Source organism: Homo sapiens, chromosome 1, assembly GCF_000001405.40.
Source record: "Homo sapiens chromosome 1, GRCh38.p14 Primary Assembly".
Classification (NCBI taxonomy): Eukaryota; Metazoa; Chordata; class Mammalia; order Primates; family Hominidae; genus Homo; species Homo sapiens.
Genome location: NC_000001.11, coordinates 156,429,824 through 156,452,223, shown reverse-complemented (window position 1 = coordinate 156,452,223; position 22,400 = coordinate 156,429,824). Strand labels below are relative to the sequence as shown.

At 47.2% G+C, this 22,400-nt stretch overlaps 4 annotated features.

Annotated features, from left to right (window-relative positions):
* Positions 3,004 to 3,504: an enhancer, noted in NCBI's record as "H3K4me1 hESC enhancer chr1:156418512-156419012 (GRCh37/hg19 assembly coordinates)". NCBI's record gives its function as "activates a minimal SCP1, AML or CMV promoter by ChIP-STARR-seq in primed H9 embryonic stem cells {active_cell/tissue: H9 hESC(primed)}" and the evidence as "EXISTENCE:reporter gene assay evidence [ECO:0000049][PMID:30033119]".
* Positions 6,306 to 6,365: an enhancer, noted in NCBI's record as "active region_1860". NCBI's record gives its function as "activates an Ori minimal core promoter by ATAC-STARR-seq in GM12878 lymphoblastoid cells {active_cell/tissue: GM12878}" and the evidence as "EXISTENCE:reporter gene assay evidence [ECO:0000049][PMID:35858748]".
* Positions 11,436 to 12,029: an enhancer, noted in NCBI's record as "H3K4me1 hESC enhancer chr1:156409987-156410580 (GRCh37/hg19 assembly coordinates)". NCBI's record gives its function as "activates a minimal SCP1, AML or CMV promoter by ChIP-STARR-seq in primed H9 embryonic stem cells {active_cell/tissue: H9 hESC(primed)}" and the evidence as "EXISTENCE:reporter gene assay evidence [ECO:0000049][PMID:30033119]".
* Positions 12,030 to 12,624: an enhancer, noted in NCBI's record as "NANOG-H3K4me1 hESC enhancer chr1:156409392-156409986 (GRCh37/hg19 assembly coordinates)". NCBI's record gives its function as "activates a minimal SCP1, AML or CMV promoter by ChIP-STARR-seq in naive H9 embryonic stem cells {active_cell/tissue: H9 hESC(naive)}" and the evidence as "EXISTENCE:reporter gene assay evidence [ECO:0000049][PMID:30033119]".

Genomic DNA, 22,400 nt, shown 5'->3' with positions numbered 1-22,400 from the left:
CAGATTTTTATTTGAAATCTCATGATCTGTAAGTGTTAGCAACAAGTTCCAATTACTTTAAAATTCTTTGCAGATCAAAAAAAAAAACCACATCTTTAGGCCAAGTATTTGGGCCACCTATCTATAACCTCTCCAGTATAGTACCAAAGGAGGAACTCTTTTTCACCCTCAAATCATACATGCTTCAGTACGATGTAGTGGAAGAGCGCCCTCCCTCTGTTCATAGCAGCTCTGTGATATGCATCCCAACACTTCCTGGTACTTCCAGGACTTTGCCCCATCCATTATCTTCTCTCTCTCCTCTGTTTTCAACTTCTTCTTGTCTACTTGCACTTCTCTTCATTCTAAGAACATGCTGAAGCCTCTCCACATTCTGAAAACACTGCTCCATTGTCCTATAGCCACTTATAGGCATTTTCTAGAAAGTTTTCTTTTTCTCTTCTCCAGTAAATTTCTTGACAATATCAATTACGTTTGCTATTTCCTCTCCCTCTCTTCCCATTGTAAGTTGGCTGAACTCCTCAACTCACAGAGTTTGCATCTACCACTTCAGCCTTTCTCAACAGGGCAAAGATCTCTGTTGTGAAATTCATTGACACTTCCCAACTAGGTTAAAACTTCTCACACTCCGATATCAAGTATTGTATCTTTTTTATTTTAGCACCTAAGAGGTGTTCAGTCAATGTTTATTGAACCAAAGGGGAACCGGTAAGTGTTAATTGAACCAAAATGGAAAGAGTTTTCAAGAAAGAAAGATGGTCAGCGTCATCAAATTTGCAGAAGGATCAAAGACTGTGATGGCCAAATGAAACCCACTGGATTTTAAGATAAGGAGATTACCAGTAACTTTTGAGGGGGCAGTTTCAGTTTAGGGAGTTGCTTGACATTGCCGTGGTTTATAAGGAAGAGGGCTGTGGAGTGAGTGTAGACCATGCATTGGAGAAGTTTGGCACTATAGGGAGGAAACAGCAGGAAATATTGGAGACAATCATGCCAGTTAGAGTTCTCAGGATCGAGAAAATCCTGGCGTATTTGTAAGTAAAGGAAACAAAGCTAGTGGCACAGGGGATGCTGAAAATGTTTGATAAAGAGAACATCTCAGAGTACACCATCAGAGGGAGACAATTGAGAAGTTAGCGGATTCAAGGAATTGGTTGGCCTTTACAAGGAGGTGAGAAGTCGCCTCTGAATTAGGCAGAAGGGTTAAAGGCATGAGTCAGAATTATACACAGACCCTTGAGTGAGGAAAGGTGATGGAGGAGAGCTCCTGTGCATTTTATCAATAAAGTGGAAACAAGGTTACATGTTTCCAGTACTCGGCTGGGGTAGTAGAACTATAGATTGCTAGCAATTTAGAGACTATTCTTTGCAGGCTCTACTCCTTTTGCCCACCCTGTAAATAGTATTGTTTAATTGCTGAGGATGGGGGGAGGCGGTCTGTCTTCGGCTGCCCTCTCTTCTTTACTCCTTTTCAGGGTAGTATCATCTACTCCTAAGTTTTAAGCAACCTCTAAAGGCTGATGGCTCCTGATGTCTATAGCTGAAATCTCTCTCTTGAGCTTCAGACCTATGTGTGCAGCCACGCTTGTGGCATATCCCCAGGATATTTCACAGGTTAAACCTAACAGGAACTCTGTATTTTCTGCACCGACACTGCTAATTTCTCCTAAATTCTTTGTCCTAGCTAATGGTCACACTACTTCCCTAGCTGCTCAAGCCAGATACCTCTCTCTCTCCTTCCCTCCCTCTCTCTAAATATGTGTATGCATGTATCTGTGTATGTAGACAGGTAGGTATTTAAAAGAATAGGAATATACTTATATTTTATGTATTATGTTTTCTTTTACACTTACTAATGTCATGATCATTTGATCATGCCAATAAATACTTTTCGACATTTTTAGTGCCTGATAAGTATTATCTTCTAACCATGTACTGTATTCTACTGCCTTGTTGAAAATTTGATTGTTTCCTCTTTTTTTTTTTTTTTTTTTTTTTTTTAGCTATCAGGAATAGTACCGAGTGAGTCCAGGTGTGGTGGCCTGTGCTTGTAATCCCAACACTTTGGGAGGCTGAGGTGGGAGGATTATATGATCCCAAGAGTAAGACCAGCCTGGGCAACATAAGGAGACCCTGTCTCTACAAAAAATAAAACAATTAGCCGAGAGTGGTAGAGAATGCCTGTGGTCCCACCTATTCAGGAGGCTGAGGTGGGAGGATCATATGAGCCTGGGAGGTCAAGGCTTCAGTGAACCATGATCGCACCACTGTTCTCCAGCCTGGGCAACAGAGTGAGACTCTGTTTCAAATAAATAAAGAGCACTGAACATATCTGTACATATCTTTTATTTCCTTAGATTGAATACTTAGAACTGCAAATAGAGGGCCACGAAGTATACGCATTTGAAAAGATTTTAATACATTTTGCCAAATTGGCCTTCCAGAAAAATTATACCTCAGTATATGATAACATCCTTGCCAATATTGGATATTATCATTTTAATTGTTGCCATTGTAATAGATTATATCTGACCCTCCAACTCTCAGCTCCACCTTTTCCCTAAATCCTTCATCATTCCCTTCCAAGTACCCTCACAACTCCCCTGGGGCACACAACTTAATTGAAAGGCAGAGAGGGACCAATTTCCCATAGGGATAATTCCCAATCTTCTCCACTTTCCTCTAACCCCACTGTTGCTGCTCTTGTTCATAGAGGTTTCTAGGCCAACCTGCGCAAGCTTCCAAAGTAATTTTTTTGTAACTCTTTAGTATCTTCCTCTATCTCCCTCTCTTCCTAAATTCCTGTCTCTGAGAGATTATTTTCCCCCTCCTTGTTGAGAATGACCTTTCAAAAGCACTTTGTCCTTCTTTCCTCCCCTAACCTTTGCATTATGCCATTGCTGCCTCCCATTAATAGAGTAGTAATTTCTTCCCTCTGCCAAAAACATACTTAAATCTCTTCTACACAAGAAAAAAGAAAAAGAATTCCATTATCCTCAAACTACCATATTCTTTTCTCCTTCCTTCACCATTATTTTTTTTTTTTTTTGAGACGAAGTCTTGCTCTGTTGCCCAGGTTGGGGCGCAGTGGCACAATCTTGGCTCACTGCAACCTCTACCTCCCAGGTTCAAGTGATTCTCCTGCCTCAGCCCCCAGAGTTGCTGGGATTACAGGCGCCCGCCACCACGCCCGGCTAATTTTTTTTGTATTTTTAGTAGAGATGGGGTTTCACCATGTTGGCCAGGCTGGTCTCGAACTCTGACCTCAGGTGATCTGCCCACCTCAGCCTCCCAAAGTGTTGAGATTACAGGCGTGAGCCACCACGCCCAGTCCCCATCAGACTTTAGAGTGCTGAGAAGTGTCTATTGACTCTCATGTACCTCTCAGCATCTTGAATTCTGGGGTCCAGCTCCTCACTCCTGAAATGGCAGTCTTCGGGGTCTTAGGCAACTTTAAAGCCCTATCAAAAGCCTTTTCTTCACCTCGTGGTAGCCTGGGGTGCAGGTCCCTGCCCTTCCGCCTGAGGCTGTCTTCTCCCGGCTGCATGGTTCGCCCTTTCCTGATTCTCCTCTCTCAGTGAGGGCTGGGATCCCGCAGGCCTGCAGGCCATGTTCATGTGTCTCAACCATCACTCTCCTAGCTCTTCCCTCCCTCTGGGTTTTCTCACCTGATCCTGTGGCTTCAGTTTTCTCCTTTATCTTGCTGATTCATAGCCCAAATGGAATTCCAGACCCAAATTATGTAGTTGCCTCCTAGACAGCTCTACCTGGATGCGATTCCTCAAATTCCACAGATCTCAAACTGAATTTGTTAGCCAGTTTCCCCCACCATCCCCACTGCCACACACAGACAAAGAGAAAAACCCGCTCCTCCCACTGTGTTTCCTACTTTGGTCAATGTCATCATCAAACTTTTAGTCATCATGCTCAAACCCATAAAAATAATAGCTGCCACATACTGAGTGCCTGCTTTATTTGCCAGGTACCTTACATGCAGAATCAAATCCAGTCTTTCCACAATAACCGTGTAAGGCTGATTTACTATGTCCATTTTTAGAGATAAGGAAACTACCAGAAAGTGGTGATATTCAATAAGTTTAGTTAGTGCCCACGCCTCTGTGTGGAGTTTCACCACATAATCTCTCCCTGCTCCTCAGTACCATATCCAGCCAGTTTCCAGGTCCCCCATGTTCACTGTATAGTACATCTGCCCTCTCTTTATCTGCCCACCACCAACTCCTTAGGCCAGCCTCACTGTTCCTTTCTCTCTCTCTCTCTCTCTTTTTTTTTTTTTTTTTTTTTTTTTTTTTTTTTTTTTTTTTTGGTAGAGACAGCATCTTGCTCTGTTGACCAGGCTGGTCTCAAACTCCTGGCCTTAAACCATTCTCCTGCTTGGCCTCCCAAAGTGTTAGGATTACAGGCATGAGACCACTGCACCTGGCCTCAGTGTTCTTTTGCCTGGAAATTAGCAAACCTTCTTCAACTATCACTGACAGATGTCATTATAAAGCATACTTTTAAACATTACTCCTTACAAGTGAAAATCCTAAATGATTCCTATTGCCGAGTGGGGTTCTAACCCTTTAGCCTGGTGTCCAAGGCTCTCTACCCTCTAATGCCAGCCTTATCTCCTGCCTATGCCCTTGGTGAACCTTATATTCCATCTAGCCAAGAACACAAGTTTTCAGCATGCCCTGCACTTCCCCCCATGACCCAAGTCTTTGTTCTTGCTATTGCTTCTCTCTGTAATTCCCTTTCTTCCCTATCTAACCCCCCTTCTCATATGTGTCTGTTGAAATCCTATCAATACTTAAAGTCCAGTTCAGCTGCCACCTCCACAGAAAACCCTTTCTTTTTAAAAATTAATTGCCGGGCGCGGTGGCTCACACCTGTAATCCCAGCACTTTGGGAAGCCAAGGTGGATGGATCACCTGAGGTTGGGAGTTCGAGACCAGCCTGACCAACATGGAGAAACTCCATCTCTACTAAAAATAGAAAATTAGCCATGTGTGGTGGCACATGCCTGTAATCCCAGCTACTCGGGAGGCTGAGGCAGGAGAATTGCTTGAACCCGGGAGGCAGAGGTTGCGGTGAGCCAAGATCGCACCACTGCACTCCGTCCTGGACAACAAGAGCGAAACTCCACCTCAAATAATAATAATAATAATTAATTAATTAAATTTTGAGACAGGGTCTCACTCGGTCACCAAGGCTGGAATGCACTGGCGCAATCATAGCTCATTGCAACCTCGAACTCCTGGGCCCAAGCGATCCTCCCTCCTCAGCCTTCAAAAGTACTGGGATTATAGGCTTGAACCACCACACCTGGCCAGAAAACCCTTTCAAATCTTCCAAGGAGTCATTTAGGTCTACCTCTTCCAACTCCCACTCTTAGTATTTTTGCCTTTTTTTAAACCATATTTTTCCTCATCTCAGAGATACTTTTGTAAATGTTTGTCTCCCCCTCTACTCTTTTATGTTCTCAGAGGATATGGACTATTTCTTAGCCATCTCTGTATCTCGAACATTATCTCCCCCACTAAGCAGTGTCCAGAGTAGGCATGTACAATGTACCAATTTTAGTTTGACTGATTCAAATTAATCAAACATTTGGTCCATTCTTGCTAATCCTTCCACTTCTGCATTCCAGGTTCTGTCAGGTGAGCTGTTGTGCTGTATGTCTGACCTGAATTGCCTTTTAGGAGGGAATCAGTACTTGGAAGCTGGAATACATCAGGGATACCCCTAAAACGAGAGACTATTTTTTTCCATTGGATTCTGACATAAATAAATTTTGCCTACTTTGACAGTCAGTTCTGTCCTGAATGTTGGGAAGAGGGAAGCCGTGTTCTGGGCTTTGAAGTCATGCAGATCTGGGTTCAAGTCCTGCCTCCACCACTTTCTGCTTGTGTGATTCAGTGCCCATTGCTTAACCTCTCATGGAGTTGTGAGGATTAAATAAGATGCAAGTAAAACACTTAGAAAGGTGCCTAGTAAAGATTAAGAGCTTAATAATAGGAATAGTAATCATGGGAATAAATAAAATACATTCAAACTGGATTTTATCTGTTTACATTTGAGTATGAATATGTCGGCCTTTCTGGAAATTCACATCAATGTCGATTAAATGATGCTACTTCCGGGACTTTCTTCCCAACCCAGCTCAGCCCCTCCAGCCCGCCTCCTTCGTTTCCTCTTCCCTGCCATAGCCTGGTGCGGCCACCAGGAGGAGCATTTGTGCCACAGAAGGAGTCTCACTCACCTCTCAGGCAGGAAAAAGCCCTCCTCGCTCTCCAGGCCATATCCACTCCCCTCTGGAGCACGGCTTGTTGTGACACCGCTGCCCTCTGCCTGTCTTCTCTTCCCGGCCTGGGAGGAGCTTTCTATTCTAGGTTTCCATTCTTATTTTGGACAGCCCGATGTAAAGACATACACCCTCGGCCGGGCGCGGTGGCTCACGCCTGTAATCCTAGCATTGTGGGAGGCCGAGGCCGGCAGATCACTTGAGGTCAGGAGTTCAAAACCAGCTTGGCCATCCATCGTGGTGAAACCCTGTCTCTACTAAAAATACAAAAAGTTAACTGGGCATGGTGGTGCGCGCCTGTAATCCCTGCTACTTGGGAGGCTGAGGCAGGAGAATCGCTCGAACCCGGGAGGCGGAGGTTGCAGTGAGCCGAGATCATGCCACCACACTCCAGCCTGGGTGACAGAGCGAGACTCCATCAAAAAAAAAAAAAAAAAAAAAAAAAAAAAAAAAAAAAGACGTATACCCTGAATGAGAGCCAGGAGACCTGTTACTTGCTCAGCTTTTCCATTACATCCCTGTCAATCAACTGCTTGACTTTCTTTTTGTTTCTTTTCTTTTCTTTTTCTTTTTTTCTTTTTTTTTTTTTTTTTGACACAGGGTCTCACTCTAGTTGTCCAGGCTGGAGTGCAGTGGCCCAAACTCAGCTCACCACAACCTCAACCTCCTGGGCTCAGGTGATCCTCCCACCGCAGTCTCCCAAGTAGCTGGGACCACAGGCACATGCCACCACGCCCAGCTATTGACTTTCTTTAGCCTGTTTCCTCACCTGTGAAATGGGAATGCTAATACATGCCCTGTGAACCTCAGTAGGGTGCTGTAAAAATGAAATATCCTGACATATACAGACCCTCTTTATAAAGTGTCAAATAGGTGACAGCATTGTCTAACCTCACACTGTGTCATTTCTCCCTCCTGCTGTCTTCAGTGGACACTCTCATCCACCCAGAGCCTTGACTGGAAATGGATTGTTAGGAAGGGATTACAGAGCACCTAGTCTCCACTTACACTAACAGAAGGGAATGAGTCTGAACCATAGCAAGAAGTACTAGAATTAAATTTACCTGGAATATTCAGAGAAAGGTTAAAGTCTCTTTTCACAAAAAGCAAAGGACAGCAAGGGAACTGTCTAGAACAGAATGACAACAGGAATTCCTAGAAACAACTGGAGGGGTAGGGCAACTTGCCTCCATAGTTGGCTAGAGGGAAGGTTTAATATATTTTGCTGAAAGATGGAAAGAATCAGTGAATAAATGAAACTGAATGAATGAAATATAGGTATGATATTTTAAGGTCTTGGGACACTAGGTGGCGGCACAAGGCAACAAACCAAGAGACCAGAACTTCTTCCAATCCAGGGGCTGCCCAGGAGGGGCACCTCCTCTGTATTCCCCAGACTTTAAGCACCCTTTCCCCTTCTATATCTGTCTTTTCAAATGATGCACTCTCTTCAGTGATAAAGACATTGAAGCAGGCAAGGAAGAGAAAACCTGGGGGAGCCAAATACATATTACCTAGGGTTTCTTCTTTTCAGATAGCCCGTGGAATTAGAGTTCTCTGGCTCCAAAAAGGGCATAAGAAAGGAAAAAAAATGGGAACATTGCATGAGAAATCTGGATTAGGGTGAGAAGGCATTTAGATAGGATTACCCAATCTACACTGATTGGGGAAAGATCTGATGACAGAATTTATTTTTTCTTTTTCTTTTTTTCTTTTTTTTTTGTTTTGTTTTTTTGTTTTTTGTTTTTGTTTTTTTTTTAGACGGAGTCTTGCTGTCGCCCAGGCTGGAGTGCAGTTGCGCGAACTCGGCTCACTGCAACCTCTGCCTCCTGGGTTCAAGCGATTCTCCTGCCTCGGCCTCCTGAGTAGCTGGGATTATAGGTGCACACCACCATGCCCCGCTAATTTTTGTATTTTTAGTAGAGACGGGGTTTCACCATGTTGGCAAGGCCAGTCTCAAACTCCTGACCTCAGGTGATTTTCCCCACCTCAGCCTCCCAAAGTGCCGAGATTACAGGAGCGAGCCACCACGCCTGGTCTAGATTTTTTTTTTTAATTGAGTAATAGTACCCTGGGGAAGTTACTGCCTCACCCATTTCTTCCTCAGGACACCACAGACCCCTCTCCTCCCATTTATTGAGAGAGAGAGAGAGAGACTGTGACTATAGCCCTTCTCAGCAAAGTAAAAGCAAAGCAGAAATCAGGCTGTTTAACTACTGGAAACTCTTCATTGTATTTTTTGACCAAGTATTGGTTCTTTGATACAGGAGAGAAAGCACTGCCAAAAGCCAAGGGCCTTTGAATAAATTCTGTCTCAGTCAGGAAACCCTAAAAATTTACTGAGGTAGTAGACGGCTACAGGGAGTTGATTATGCCTTCGCCACCATAATGCAAGACTTCTGAGTCATGAACATAGCGCCAGTGGAAAGATGCCACCTTCTTAGCTTCACTCTGCTTGGGTTTGTAACTCTAAGACAAAATCGCTTCTCTGTATCATCTCCATTCCTAAAGTTGTTCTGTTCAGCGTCCTATTTTAGCAGGCATCAGTGGATATGCAGCCCAGCCATGCCCCTCCCAGTTGCCTTTAGCACAATGGAACCAAGACCACCGTCTTACCCTCTGTCCTCTTTTCTGTGGATGGTAATTTCCTAGTCTTTCCTGTTTCCTCCAGATCTCCCTTCTTCCCGTGGTAGGGGAGGAGAAGTAGTGAGCATTGTGCTTTTTACACCGAGCTCCTGTAACACTGTCTTTATAATAATGCATATAAAGCACTTGTAACAGAACACTAAAAAAAGTCAGTGATTATCAGCCAGGCACAGTGGCTCACACCTGTAATCCCAGCACTTTGGGAGGCTGAGGCGGGCAGATCACCTGAGGTCAGGAGTTCGAGACCAGCCTGGCCAACCTGGTGAAACCCCATCTCTACTAAAAATACAAAAATTAGCCGGATGCGGTGGCACACGCCTGTAATCCCAGCTACTCGGGAGGCTGAGGCAGAAGAATCGGTTAAACCTGGGAGGCGGAAGTTGCAGGGAGCCGAGATCGCGCCACTGCACTCCAGCCTGGGTGACAGAGCAAGACTCTGTCTCAAAAAAAAAAAAAAGAAAAAGAAAAAAAAGCCAGTGATTATCATGGCTACTTATAACTATCTGCAGTATTTTCCAGTGTACAAGAACTTTGACATGCATTATTTATTCCATTCATTTATTCATTAAACAAATATTTATCAAATGCATGTTATATGCCCAGTACTCTTCTGGGCCATTGATGGAGAAATGGACCACATGGCCATGATCCCTGCCTTCGTGAAACTTTGAGGAAGCTTAAAATTTTTAATGTAAGTTGACATATTCACTGCTTTGTGTTAGAACTTTGACATTGGAAAGAATGTTAGAAATCAGCTAGTTCAAATTTTATTTTTTATTTTATTTACTTATTTATTTAGAGATAGGGTCTTGCTCTGTCATCCAGGCTAGAGTGCAGTGGTGTGATCTCAGCTCATTGAAGCCTTAACCACCCAAGCTCAAGCGACCCTCTCACCTCAGCCTCCAGCGTAGCTGGGACTACCGGCGCATACCGCTAAGAAATCAGGTAGTTCAATCACTTACTCAAAACAGAAATTCATTCTTCTATATCTTGGTCTAAAATCACCAAGAATTGGTGGCTGTTCTTGACTAAACATTCTCTGTATTTGGTCTTTTCTGACCATTTGTACATTCTTCTTTATGCCAAACCCTAATGCGGTTCCTTTTCATTTCCACTCACTGATTCTTTTCCTGTACGATTCAATAAGTCTGCCCCTCTTCTATGCGGATTGCCCATTAAATAGTTAAAGACAGGTACCACAGCTCCAAGATCAGTTTGTTCGTAATTCTTCACTTAATGAAGACTTCTTTTTCAAGAATCATTTGAAGTATTTCCCATGTGCCAGGCACTTTAGTAGGTATTCTCATACAATCTCATTTAACCCTCACTATGAACCCTGCGCAATAAACTTCATTCTGATTTTATTGATAAGGCAAATGAAGATGAGAGAGAAGAAGTAACCTGCCCACGGCCACATCCCTTATATATGGCAGAGCCCCTTGGACATTTGGTTAATCCTCTTCTCAGTGCTCTCTTACATGTCAGTATCTTGCTTCAGATGGAGTCAGTTACAAGTACAGTAACACTCTTCAGCTTTCTTGACTGGAATGTGATTCTTCTTCCCAGAGCCAAAGACCACATTAGCTCTTAGCAGTTCCATCACGTTACTGGCTCATACTGAGCTTATGGTTACCTAAATGTTCAGGTCTTTCCGATATGCATCATTGTCAAGCCTGGTCTCTCACATGCACTGCTTTGTCCTACTGTCTCAATGTTTGGGTCCTATCCTTCCTTCAAAGACCACCCAGCTCATGCCCAACTCTTTGGTGAAACCTTTCCCGATTCTACATTACCCCCATTGAACAGGATCTCTTTCTCTCTCCATAGAATTTCTATCTATATTTTCTGAGCAATAATTTGTGATCTTTAATTAGGGCAGATGTCTCCTTCCCCTTATGTCCCTTAGTGCCTGGTCCATAGAGTCATCCAGCAAACACTTGTCAAATGAACAAATCTTGTAACTAGAAAATTTATATTTTGTCTCTAAATGCAGTGCTTTACATATCCCTGTTGAATTTCTTAAGCAAATTCTAACTTCTCTATGGTTTGGGGCCCATTCTCTGCTCTATCTCACACAGTGCTGTGTGCAGAGCACCCACCAGGAACTGTACATTTCCCCAGCAGCCTGATGAGGTAGGCATGATACTTGTTTTACAATGAGGAAATGGAGAGCCAGAGAGTCCAGGAGCCATACCCAGGATCACATCGCTCATAAGTAGCAGAGCTGGGCTTCATTCAAAATGAGATCTTCCTGACTCCGATGCCTATGTTGTTTCTGCCACCCTACGCTGCTTTTCTAAAGTAAAACGTGTCTTTATGGGAGACCAGATGAGTCTAGGGCAGAGTCATCCCCAACAGGCATGTTTGCCAGAGTTTGGGAGACCTGCCCCTGCAGATTGTCCTGCAAAGGATAAGACGGTTGCTGGAAGCCCCTTTAGTTCGTGAACAGGTTAGAAAACAGCTGCTAACAATGATGACTGAAGAACAAAATGGGGTAGAGGCAGCCAAGATGGAAGGAAACAGTGAGAAGAGACTGGATGTTCTTTGTGTGTGGAACTTTTTCCTGATTTCCTCGCGAATAACTCTCTTATCTCCTCTAAGTCTTTGCTCCAATGCCGACTTCTCAATGAGGCCCCACCCCATCCCCTTATGCTGTTTTACATTTCATTTGTCGTCCATAGCGGTTATCACCTTTTAATATATAATGTGCATAATCTAATTTCTGAAGCCCAGTTTGCACATACACACTCCTGGTTCTAGTCCTCAACTTCCCCGAGACCTTGGGCTAGAAGGCACTCCCCCAAGCTCCTCTCTTCCCCATTTACGAAGCCCCTTTCTGCAACAGAGTAATAAGAAATAAGAGAAGAAATGTGGAAAGCCTATAGAACAAATGACTCTTAGATGGAATCAAATTAGTGTTTATGTGGATTTTCGTGTCCTTTTTCCCACAGTTCTGGCAAGGGAGGGATGAAAATTAGATTTTAATAATTATTTCCCAACAGTCATAGGTGGAAGAAACTCAGAAAGACTCGAAAGGGACCAAAAATGGGCTGGGGCTAAGGTGGCCTCAGAGCAGAGACAGCAGGATGGTGGGGCACGGAACAGCCTGTCCCACACCTCCGCAGGGGGCTGATCCTGAGAGACCTCCAGAGCCCCGGGGCCCGCCCCTCTCCCCAATTCCCATCGTCGCAGGCTCCCGAGAAGAATGCAGGTCAGGATCGTAAGTGACCTTTCACACCTCAGACAAGCTAAGTTTGTTTTCTCCTTTTCTGTCCAGCCCTCAGCGGGAGGGAGGGGGAAATGGGATGGGCCTTGTCGAACTTTCTCCTGCTACAATACCCCAGAGGAGTTGAAGTGGAGGGAGTAAAGGATCTATTTATTTTGGCTCAGGAGGGACAATGTAAGCAGATGGTCTTTGATGGGATTAGCGGCGTAATCTCTAAGACCCTGGTAAATTGGAAAATGATCCATTATATTCCACGAACCTTTGGCGGCTTCAGCTCCTGGGGAGGGAGGGGCAGGGCCCGGGGGCACCTTGTTAGAAAGGACCCCCCTCTGGGAGCAGCCAAATCCCGCACAGAGAATTTGGGAAGAAGTTCGTTAGCTTCGCAATGCAAGCCCCTCTCCTCTTGAGAGAGCACAGAAATAAGAATTCTCCCTGTGCCCTCTCAAGCCTCTTTTTTCTCCTTTCCCCCTCCCCCTCTTTCGGGTGTGCTGGGGTGTCTTCTCTACCACCCCCTGCCCCAGGCCTTTGCATTCCCAGGGTGTTAGGGGACTTTTCTCTGGGGAGAGAATATTACTGGGTCTCTTGCCTTGGAAGGTCAGAATTCTTCTTAGAATCCCAATAATATCCCTTCCATTGTAATCTCAGTCCATTTCTCACCCCCTGTCCTCCAATGCTACAGCCCACAGCCCAGGAGGACTCTTCCACTCACCATGTATGTCAAGTCCAGGCAGAGAAAGCGCCAAGTAGGGGGAAGGGGCAAACTGCTGGTGGGTGAGGGCTGAAACATGTGAAAAGGGAGATAAGGTGATAATGAACCATGCTGCCCAACCCTCCACACTCTCACCTCACCTCCATCCCCCACAGCCCAGGCGCCTCCAGGCCTCGGATCCCCTCCATCTGGAGATCCCAGCCGCAGAGATGGGGCATATGGGAGGCCCATTCAGTATGAGGCGTGGTGTGGTAGGACGCATTGATGTAGTTTGGGTCACATAAGTTATTTGCAGTACATATGATATCGTGCATTCATAAAGCACTTGTAGATTATAAAGAAACTTTGATGAATAGAATTTCATTTAGATCTCACAACAACTGAATGAGAAGGGCATTCAAAAGACTGGAAAACAGGGTCAGTGACATGCCTAAGTTCACCCAGTTTAGTAAGTGACAGAGCCAGGACTGAAACTTGACTATTTTTGACTCTTAGTTCACAGTTTTTTCCTTTCTTCAGTCTATCATCTTCCATCACAAAGACTTACGTTTCCTCTTGCCTACGCTTTCATTTCCTGTGGTCACACACGCATTTTCTTTCCTTGACTGTCTCTCCCAAATATGCAAACATACTACGAATACTATATGTGTATTTCGTATTTTTTTTATCTGCATAAATAGAATAGTGCTACTTCTCTCATTAACTTCTAACTTTTTCACTCAACATTACGCTGTGACATCTATTCATGTTCATAAATGTCTAAATTTTTCCTTTCCTGCACAACATCTTGTTTATTCTTTTCAGCATTCAAGTCACTTCCAAAACTTCATTGTTACGTATCTATCCTTGAACAGGCATTTTATTGGAATTGTATTAAATTTATAGGTTTAACTTGGGCTATTAAAACCAAAACAGTCAAAATATGCATTTTCCATACATAGAATCTCCTTAATTCTCTGAAAATAAAGCACAGAAATAAGGAAAGTGGGGGTGGGGTTGGACAGACAGAAAGGCAGTACCAATTACTCAATTCCAGATAGAAATACAATCCCTTTTGAGTGTGTTAACTTTAACTGTAAAAGATGCAGCAGGTAACTGGTGGAGGCTCCAGGAAACATTTGACTTCCACAGTGTTTTATTGCGGCTATTTCAATGAATTGAGGGATGTTTTATTTTATTTCAGTGTCTTTTTAAAAAGAGCAACGCTTCATATTATATATTTAATTATCTGCAATAATTTGAGTCTGACACAGGGATTCAGAGACTGGTTAAAACAGGAAGGCAAGAGTGACAGGCAGCAAAATACAGCCATTCCTCACACGTCCTCCACTCAGCACCACCCCAAACAAGAAGATATAACAATATGAACGTGACATTCCTGAACTGGAAATACACACACACACACACACACACACACACACACACACACACCGATTTCTTATCCATGAAGAGCCAAGCAGGTATATTAATTTATTCAGTTCTTATTACCACAACCCAGGGAAATTGGTTTCCGCTCCTCCATTTTGCCTGTTCAGAAGGAGGTCGGAGAGTTTAATTGGCTTGGAGTCACACGGCCAGCCTCAAACTGTGCTCTTCCCAGCACCAGCACCCTCCACCAAGCTGTCTGGCCTTTATGCCATCCTCTTCTGCCGCAGCACCCTGTCTGGTCATTGATCTCATGTCGGGGACCCTCCTGGGAAGCCCTCTTGCTCCCTGTTCTCCTGGGCTTCTCTCACAGAAGCAGCCCACTCCTCGCCTCCCACCCACTCAGCCGATTGCTTTCTTTCAGATTGGCCCACACCCAGCCACGCATTAATACACAATATGTTTACCTACGAGGTCCAAAATGTTCTGGGATGAGCTTAACTGACCCACCAAATCTGGGTTGGTCTCATTTGGAGTGACTCCTACGTCCCATTCATTCCCAGCTCTGACCGTCTTTCCACTGGAGCGACTTCCATGGCTTCCAGCCCAAGGCTCTCCGTTTATAAAGGCAAAAAGGGATGGAGGAAGTGACTTGACCAAGGCCACAAAGCTGGTCATAGCAGCCCTTTCCCCACCTGTCCGGGGATGGGGTGGAGGGTGGGCAGGGAGGCTGTGGGAGGTATTTGTTCTGGTTCTTTGATTCCTCCCACACTGAGGCCAGCGGGGAATTATTTATTTATCTTGTTTAGGATGGGCGAGCTCTGAACCAGGCCAGCCTCTCCCTAATGTGATTCCAGAAGCGGCCCTGGATCCGGGGGTTGGGGGGTGGGGGTCTGCTGGCTGGACCCTTCTCGGAGGCCTTTTTTCTGTGCCCTACAATGTCACAGCTTCTCTATAGCCCACAGATTCTCCATCCCATTTGCCTGCTTCCAGAGAGCCACGGCCACGGTCGGCATCTTTGGATCCTGGCCCTACCCTCTACTGGGAACGTAGCGTCTAGGGACAGAATTCGGCAGCTTGGAAAGAAAAGGGAAAGGGAGCGGCTCCCAGCAAACGCGCAGGGGAGGGGGGTACGGGCGCCTCTGGCTAAGCTCCCAGAGAGGCCCGGCTGCCTCTCCCACCGCCCTTCGCTTCTCTTTTTTCCTTTATTTATCTCATTTTTCCTTCTCCCCAGCCTTTCTTCCTCTCTCGCCCGCGTCGCTCTTAGCCCCCTCTCTGTCTCCCTCTGTCCCTGTCTCTCTATGTCTCTCTGTCTCATCTTCCCTTTCCCTGGCTTGCCAGGCTTCCCGCTCTCCCCGGCTTCTCCTGGTTGTTAATTATTCAGCCCCCTGGCCCCACATCCCAGTCCAGGCTGCCGCGTGGAGTTTGCGCGGAGAGGGACGCTGTCGGCTTTCCCCCAGGCTGGGGTCCCGAACGGCTGGCGGGGAGCGGACCGCGTTCAGCAGTCCCCGCGCTCTCGGCTGCCCAGGCTGGACCGAGGCTCCGCTTGACGCCGCGAACCCAGACACTGCGCATGCAGGGCCTCGCAGCCGAGAGCACACGCTCGGGGAGACCCGGCGCTGGGAGGCGGCGGCTAGGAGGATTTCCCGGGGTCGGGTTCGGCGGGCGGCAGAGGTGGGGGCGAAGGAGTCCCGCAGCTCCCGGCCCTCGGGCTCCCGCGACTCTCTGTGGGTGGGGCTGGCTGACCGTCCAGCCGGCTCTTCGCCCGAGCCGGGTGCCGGCGGCGGGCAGCGCGCGGAGGAGCCCCGGCCGCTGCGCACCCGCCGGACCCCGCCGCGCCCGCGGCCGGAGGCTCCCAAAAGCCTCATCGCCCCGTCTAGGGCCCCCTTCCCTGCGGGCGCCTCGGAGCCCTTTCCTAGCCCTGTTGTTTCTTCGCCTTTTCTATCACTTAGTTTAACAACTTTAACGTTTTTAGTATGTCTCCTTTTTATTTCATTTAGCGTTACTTTATCCTTTTTGTTGTAACGTTTTCTTTCTTTTCGAGTGGGTTTTGTTTTTCCTTTTTTATCTGTTTCCGATGGATTCTCTTTTCACTTTCTGCTCACTTCTCACCTCAGCTCCGGAGCCCGCGCTTTCGTTTCCTCTTCCCCGCGCACCCGCGGCTCTGCGGCTGGCGTCGGCGGTGCTCGCGGTGGTCCAGCTCGGGCGAGGGCGAGGGCGAGGGCGAGGGCGAGGGCGCGAGGGTCCTGGTTCCACCCGGAGCTCAGTCCGCGCGCCCAGCGAGTCCGCGCCGGGTGCTGCTGCGGAGCTGAGACTTTGTCGAAAGCGGGAGTCCGAATCGCTGCCGCCGGCAAGAACGGAGAGAGCAGGCAGAGGCGCCTCGGGGGCCCTGCCGGCGGGTTCCAGCCTGGTTTTGGCCTGGCCCCGGGGCACACAGAGGACCCAGACCTGCAGTCCCCACGGAGGCCGCAGGCCCACGCTCACTGAGACTCAGGGGCCTGCAGGCCATCGTGCACGAACCACACAGACACCCACCGAGTTACCCGTGAGCCTCACCGCCAACTCAAGGGCGCAGGCACACCCAGCACGCACTGACAAACACACGCATAACAAATATCACACACACACACACACACACACACACACACACGCAGCCCCAAACCACACACATACAAAACACAGAGTGTGGACATACACATGATCACGGGACACATACACGAGAACAGCATACATATGACTGCACATTGCAGATAGACACCACACACAGACACGTAAGCCTACTTGCCAACACTCTGCCACCGCGGGGTGTTTTAAGCCCAACTCAGTCCATCAAGGTGGTGACTCTTAGGCCAGTGTCGGGCAGCTGGAAGGGGACCTGCCTGGTCTCACCAGCGGGCACAGCAGTAACCTAGCAACTATAAATACAGCCCCCCAGAGTTCAGTACCTCTGCCTGGACTGAGGTTGCCGAGGCTCCCACACTGGCTGCTTGTTTAGCTGAGGGATGCAGCCAAAATCTAAGAGCCTGAGCCCCAGAAATGAGCATCAGACCTACAGAACCCTATTTGAAGCAGATACCAGTACTGCACCAAGAAATGGCACCAGGGTACAGAGTATGAAGCAGACATGCCATACATGTGCCAGTATGTGTTCCGTGCCACATGCATCGTACGCGGTGCTAGGATTTGGCCAGTACCCACATAGAGACCGTTATTTATGTGAAAACAAGCAGAAGAGATGTATATGGTTCTAGGAATAAACGTCACATGTGTACAAATACAGATACCAATCTACACCTAAGGAGATGTAAAGTTGAAAATCTCTTTCCAGCTCATGGGTACCGTTATCAAGCTGGAACACTAGCCTATGTGTCTGTGGTAAGGTCTGGTCTCCGTTCCAGGGCAGAGGGAGTCATTTGGTGCCATGAGAACATTGTGGTGAGGCTGGATTATGGGAGAACTATATGTACCTGAAAGGTAATCAAGCCACCAAAAAGGGGGATTTGGGTAGCTTTAAAGGGGAACCCCGTGGTAAACGGCTGTCTGGGCTGTGTCCTCAGAATTTCTGGAAGATGCTTTCAGCCACAGCAGCAGTAAAAGTGGTGGCCAGGCCTGCATGGCGGATGATGGAGCCTGTCTGCAGGCAGGTATCTGTATGCACAGACTATGCTGGGTAAAAACACAAACCTGTTTGTGGTACACACAGATAGGTCCCAACAACCAAGCCCGGCAAGACGCAGACAGTGTGTGGCCACAGATGTCCAACTGGATTGCCAGGGAGATGAATTTTGTAGGAGAAAATATAAGGGTAAGAGATATTTTTGTGCACACACAGAGTTCCATAGGATTGGAGCTTAATTTTTATACAGGAGAGCTGCAGAAGTAGGAAAGTACATAGGTCAAAAGAGAAATGCTGGGTGAGCCTCATCCTAGAAGGCCAGGATGAGTGGAGAGAGGTCTCTATGGCGCAGCCCAGGGAGGAGCCCATCCATTGTCCAAATGACTCCAGAGTATTATACTATGACACTTGCAGAGAAATGTGCCTGGTGAAGTTGCAAATATATTTGCCAATTTCTTGGCAGAGCCTGGGGGAGAAGCAGGCAGGAGGGAGGGCCATATACCAGGTCTCTAACATGGGACGGAGAGTGGAAAGCTTGGCCCCTGGGGTTGGCTGTCAGTCTCTTTGTCTGCCCTATCCTTGACCAGGTTTCTGATGACTGTCAGCACCTTTCTCTTTCACTCTTACAGGTCTCTGACTCTAAGTCTCTGCCCCTCTCAGTTTCTTTCTGTGCTCAATTTGTCTTTCTCTCCCTATCTCTTCAGCTCTTTTACTATTCTGTGAGACATGGCCAGAAAGAACAAGAAGCAGTCAGACCTAGGAGCAAATATAAATACAAAAGCACGTCATAGATGCAGATGTCATTAGTGATAAAGCCCATCCATCTTGCTGGTCTATATAGATATACATGACAGCAAATTTCCATTTTTGCATAAAAATCCAAGTATAGACTTGAAGGTTGTTTCCTTTTAGTCTTTTAGCCACTGCCTCTTTGGGTGTCTATCTCTTTATTTCTTTCTGGGACCCTTCTTCATTACGCCACTCAGAGTCCCTGGACACTGCTACAGTTTCAATAATCCTACCTCTCCCCAGTATTGCCTTCTTTGAAGTTTGGCTCAGATGGGCAAAGGCTTTTCTGAGAAGGCGGTAGCTAGATAGCTGCGTTGCAAGCAGGGATGTGGAGAGAGACATTTGAAACTTGATGGAGATGCTGCTATCTCCAGCATCTATCTAGTTTTGGGGTCAGTCAAACAGACATACATACACCGTTAATCCACCTGGGGAGTGGAGTGACAGAAGGATATGGTGGAGTGCTGGAACCCCAGTGCCTCATTGGTGCCAAGGGCCAGCAGAACCACCCAGCCAGGCAGAGGAAAAGGTACCCAACTCAGTGGAAGCAAGTCCCTAGGACAATATAGAAGGAAAACTGTGAAGGTCCTAGCTTCCCAACCACGGACCTGGTATAAATAATGTCTGAGTAAGAGAGGGTTGGAGTACGAAAAGGTAGGCAGTGAAGCGACTCCTTAGATACGGAGGCACCCTGTGGCGATCCGGCTGCGGAGCCTAAGAATGAACCTACAGAAGGTAGCTTAACCTGGAAGGAAGAGGAGGGGCTTGCGGCTCAATCCTGGTGGGAGAAAGGAGGGTCCAGAGTCGGACCATGTCCACGTGGTTTCTGCTCGTCATGTGTTGGTTGGAATGAATGCATGAACACACCAAAAGCCACTGCTTGGGGTCCCATGGCCATTTACTAGGTGGTGGGAAAAGGAGAAAGGATTTGATAATATGGAATGGGCTCTGGATTAAGACTCAGACTCAGCCTCTAAACCAACATGGGGTGGCCCCCATCCTGGCCCCGTGCCGAATAAACCTGGAGAGCTCATCCCTTCCAACTCCAAATAAACAGCTCCTTGTTTTCTTGCCAGATCTGAATTCTCTGTGCCTCACTCTATGTGCTCTATGTGAGTTTGTGACTCTATCTCTGGTTCCCCTACTCTCTGTGAGCTGCAGTTCTGTCCCTCTTGTCTCTGTCATTGCTTCGAAGCTTTTCTGGCTTCATCTGTCTCTGTTTTCAGGTCTCTGTCTGTCCCCTCCTGCCCGCCCCCCCGCCCCCGACTGGAATTAGCCTTTGTTAATTCAAAGGCTTCTCACTGAGCTCCTCCCCACTCTTCCCAGAATAACATTGAGTAAAATGAGATAAAACCCTCCCGCCCCTAGGTTTTTTTTTCTGTCCTACTCCCCTCAGCCCCCTCCTCCAGGGCTACAACCCCCTCTTATAATGTCAGATAATTGCTGGTGTGCGGCTCTGAGGAGCCAGAGCTGATACCAGGGAAGGAGAAAGGGGGAGAGAAATAAATAATAATCTGTCTCCATTCAGCGTATATAGGTTACCTGATTTGCATATATGCTAATAACGCTATAATTACCCTGCTGTTCTGGCCTATGATCAAGTTCTATAAATACATAGGATAGCAGAGCTAGGCCTAGCAACACCACCCCCAAAATCATGGAGTATATGTATGTATATGTGCGCATTTTATGTACACTCTAAACCTATGAGCCTCTCTTTGTTAGAACACACTCCCTTACAGATCCCAGCTCTTCAGACGTTCAGCTACCCCTCTTGTGTTTTGAAGCTACTTTGGAGGCGGGAAGACATGCCTGAATGAGAAAACATTCTAGGTTTTACTTAATTCTTAGTATTAATTTCATTATCAATATTATGGCTATTTTTCGGAAAATCAGACTTCCCCAAATTATTGAATTAGTTATTATCATCTGGATTCCCCCACCTCCTACAATCCTGCACCTTGGGGTACAGGCTGGTGGGTAGGAACAGGAAGCCCCCATCTCTTAGGCCTGCTGAGATGTTTCAGAAGGCGCTGCCTGCGGGAGAGGAAGTGGAGTCCTCTTCCCCAAACCTGCTCCTCATGCCTCAGTCTCCTGGCACACTCACCACTCGAAGGAAACCAGGGGGAAGATACACAGGGGGCTGTGCAAATTTTTGGGTGATGGTGGCAGAAGTGGGGAGGAAGCTTGGAGGAACATAAAAGATGCAATCCACAGCTGTCTGCTTTTAATTATAATTATCCCCTTTCGCTTCCTTTCTGGCTAATGAGGGGGGGGATTTAAATTTTTTTCTCCCTTTTCTCCCCCTTCCTCCTTTCCCTGGAATTGAGGGGTGGGGTGAGTTCAGGATCCTCCTCCCCTTCCTCCCTTATCCCCTGGTTACTGGGAGAAAGGCAGACTCCAGAGGGTGGTGACAGTATGAAGAGATTTGCAGGAACAAAAGAAGGACAGGTTTGGATTGCTGGACACGTCCCAGAGTTGGACAGAGCCCCCCCCCCATTCCACTGGCACCCCCCTCCCATCAACCCCCCAGCTCCCTAGACAAGGAACTCAATGTCTTCCAGCCGGTGAGAAAGGAGCTAACGGGAGCCCTGGTCTAGAGAGAAGGGGGAGGGAAGGGGTGGGGAGATGGGGGGGTGCAAAATTAGTCTCAAAGGATCTTTATTTCTGAGCTAGTGAAGCAGATGTAATCAAGGGGAGAGCAAAATAATCATAATGGGAGGAATGGGGGAGGGGAAGCGGGGCTGGAATTGGGGGACTGGGCCAGGACAGGACTGAGAATTGGGGGGCAGAGAACATTGAGTGGGGAGAGTCTGTTGCCTTCTCTCACCCCTCTGAAGTCTCCCTGCTTTGAGGTGGGGAAAGAAGGACCCGGTCTATAGACTCTGACCTTAGCCCTCAGAATCCCTCATTCAGAGCTTAGGGATCGCCAGGCCAGAAGGTGGCTGGGAAGGCACCAGGGAGAAGACAGCCTCCCGCCCCCAGTTGAGGGAGGTGGTGAAGAGAGGGGAGACTGAAAGCAGTGGGGGAGGGTGAGAGAGGGGAGCCAGCAGAGACTCAAGTGGCCTCCAGGTCTGTGGGACAAAAGTTGGAGGGAGATTTGTGTATGAGAGAGGAGGGAAGGGGGCCGTGGGGAAGGGGGGGCTTTGACAATGAACTTGAGACAAACTTCATTAGCATGCAGGCCTGCTGTCTGTCACGTCGAGCTCAGACCGAGTTCCCATGCAGACCAGGAAGAGTGGGAGGGAGAAAAAGGGAGGGGCTGAGGATGGGGGTTAGAGAGAGAAAAGAGACCCGACCGTTGTACCATTCTGGGCCCCAGCTTCCACCAAATATCGGGACCCCAGCCCTGGAAACCAACCCCCAAATTGCTCTCCCTCCTCTAGGAAAAAGATAATTTATCTCCCACTTTGACTCTGTGGTCCCACCCCTTCTCTTCTCTTGTCTAGACTTCCAAGTGCTGGCCTTCATCTCCCCGCAAGATGCGCCCCCTCCAACTCTCAGCCTTCATCTTCCTACTGTCACTGTCTCCTTCACAAGTAAGATCTGGATTTGTGATTAGTTAAGCTGACCGGGATAGGAGTTGAGGGGAGGCCTGGGAAGGGGGGCCTGGAATGCCCTAAGCCTTCAAATGGCAAACTGTGTCACCTTCTCATGACTCCTTATCAGCTCAGCGCCTCACCCTCCACACACCACTTAATCACTCTATCAAGTTCCAAAGCGAATTAAAACTCGGAGACTAGGG